Source organism: Homo sapiens, chromosome 3 (genome assembly GCF_000001405.40).
Source record: "Homo sapiens chromosome 3, GRCh38.p14 Primary Assembly".
NCBI classification, from domain to species: domain Eukaryota; kingdom Metazoa; phylum Chordata; class Mammalia; order Primates; family Hominidae; genus Homo; species Homo sapiens.
This window is the reverse complement of record NC_000003.12, coordinates 95,713,542-95,715,080: the sequence shown is the minus strand read 5'-3', so window position 1 is coordinate 95,715,080 and position 1,539 is coordinate 95,713,542. Positions and strand designations below refer to the sequence as shown.

At 29.2% G+C, this 1,539-nt stretch overlaps 1 annotated feature.

The window, feature by feature from the left end:
* Positions 813-951: a silencer, noted in NCBI's record as "fragment chr3:95432974-95433112 (GRCh37/hg19 assembly coordinates)". NCBI's record gives its function as "represses an EF-1alpha promoter that drives an FKBP-Casp9 reporter gene in an ReSE screen in phorbol 12-myristate 13-acetate-treated (for megakaryocytic differentiation) K562 erythroleukemia cells {active_cell/tissue: K562(+PMA)}" and the evidence as "EXISTENCE:reporter gene assay evidence [ECO:0000049][PMID:32094911]".

Sequence of the window (1,539 nt, the reverse complement as noted above, 5' to 3'; positions counted from 1 at the left end):
ATTCATTCAGGTTTTACTTCTCTACTCAGGATCAGTCAATATTCCTTGAAACTGAGAGAGTAAAATGATATTACAGTACTGCATGTTTCAAGTTGTATTATGGGGTGTATGTGTGTGTGTGTATAGAGGGAGAGAGAGAGAGAGAGAGGAAATATGGCCAATTAAATCTATAATTTATACCACAACTTTGGTTCTAAGAATTATTGCGTGTTTGAGAAACATATTTTAATATAGTATGAAAACATGATATCAATAGTTGGTTTTTATTTTAGAGTTTTTTTATTTTGAGAATTTTTACACCTACAAAAATATTAAACACTTGTATATCCTTCTCACAGATTCATAAATTGTTAACAATTTACCAGATTTTTCTACATTTTGTCTCTATCCACATATTATTTATTCTTCTTGCTGAAAAATTTGAGAGTAAGTTTCATACTTTATTATACTTCACTGTTTAATTCTTTAGAATACATTCCTCCATTACCCTACTACTATGATCATTCCCAAGAAATGTACCACTATAAATATATATAATTGTTCACTATATAGTAAAAAATGTATGTATCTATACATAGCACATATATTTATTTTAATTTTTAAGTTCCATGGTACATGTGCAGCATGTGTAGGTTTGTTACATAGGTAAACATGCGCCATGGATATTTTTCTTTTTTAATGTTATTTATGACTATGACAATATTTTAGAGTCCGGGACAATGACCTTATTGGTGATATATGTAATCTTCTTTTATTGTTTAGGCATTACAGTCAGGATACACAGAGACACAGAGACACAGAGACACACAGACACACACACACACACACACACACACACACACACGTTTTTTAAAAGAATATCCTATACAAAGTGTGGATTTTTCTTTGCATCACATCAGAGGGGACATGAATATCAGAAAGTTCCTAGTATTGGCATGCTAATTTTGATCACTTTTTTAAGGTGATATCCACTGATCTGTCAATTTGAAGATATCATTTTACTCTTATAATTAATATGTGATTTATAGATGGTGATATTATTGAGTCATTTTATCTAAGTTTTCACATTTATTTGCATAGAGCTGCTTAAACTAAACTTTTTATTCCATTTGTAAATTTTCATCGTTAAAAATATTAACAGTATAAGTTTTCCTCACACCACTCCCTTAAATGCTTCTAATAAATTCTGATATGTAGTTTTTGATTTTTATCTTTTGTCAGAAATTCTGCAATTTCAGTTTATATTTACATTACTTCTAGGAGTAACTTAGTAAAGATATCACAAATTTCAAAGAGAAAGAATTGTTTTTCTTTTGTTACTAATACAGAGTTTATGGCCTTGTGATCATGTTATTTTTAATGTTTATAATTGTAAAACTTGCTTAGGATTTTCTTAGGTGACAGAATGTATATTCAATTTTCAGGACTGATTCAGATGAAATTGATTGAAACACAAGAAATGAAAGTATTTCAAATAAGATGAGGAGAAAATGAGCAAGATGGTGTATGTACACATAACAGATTTACCATTTTCCCTCC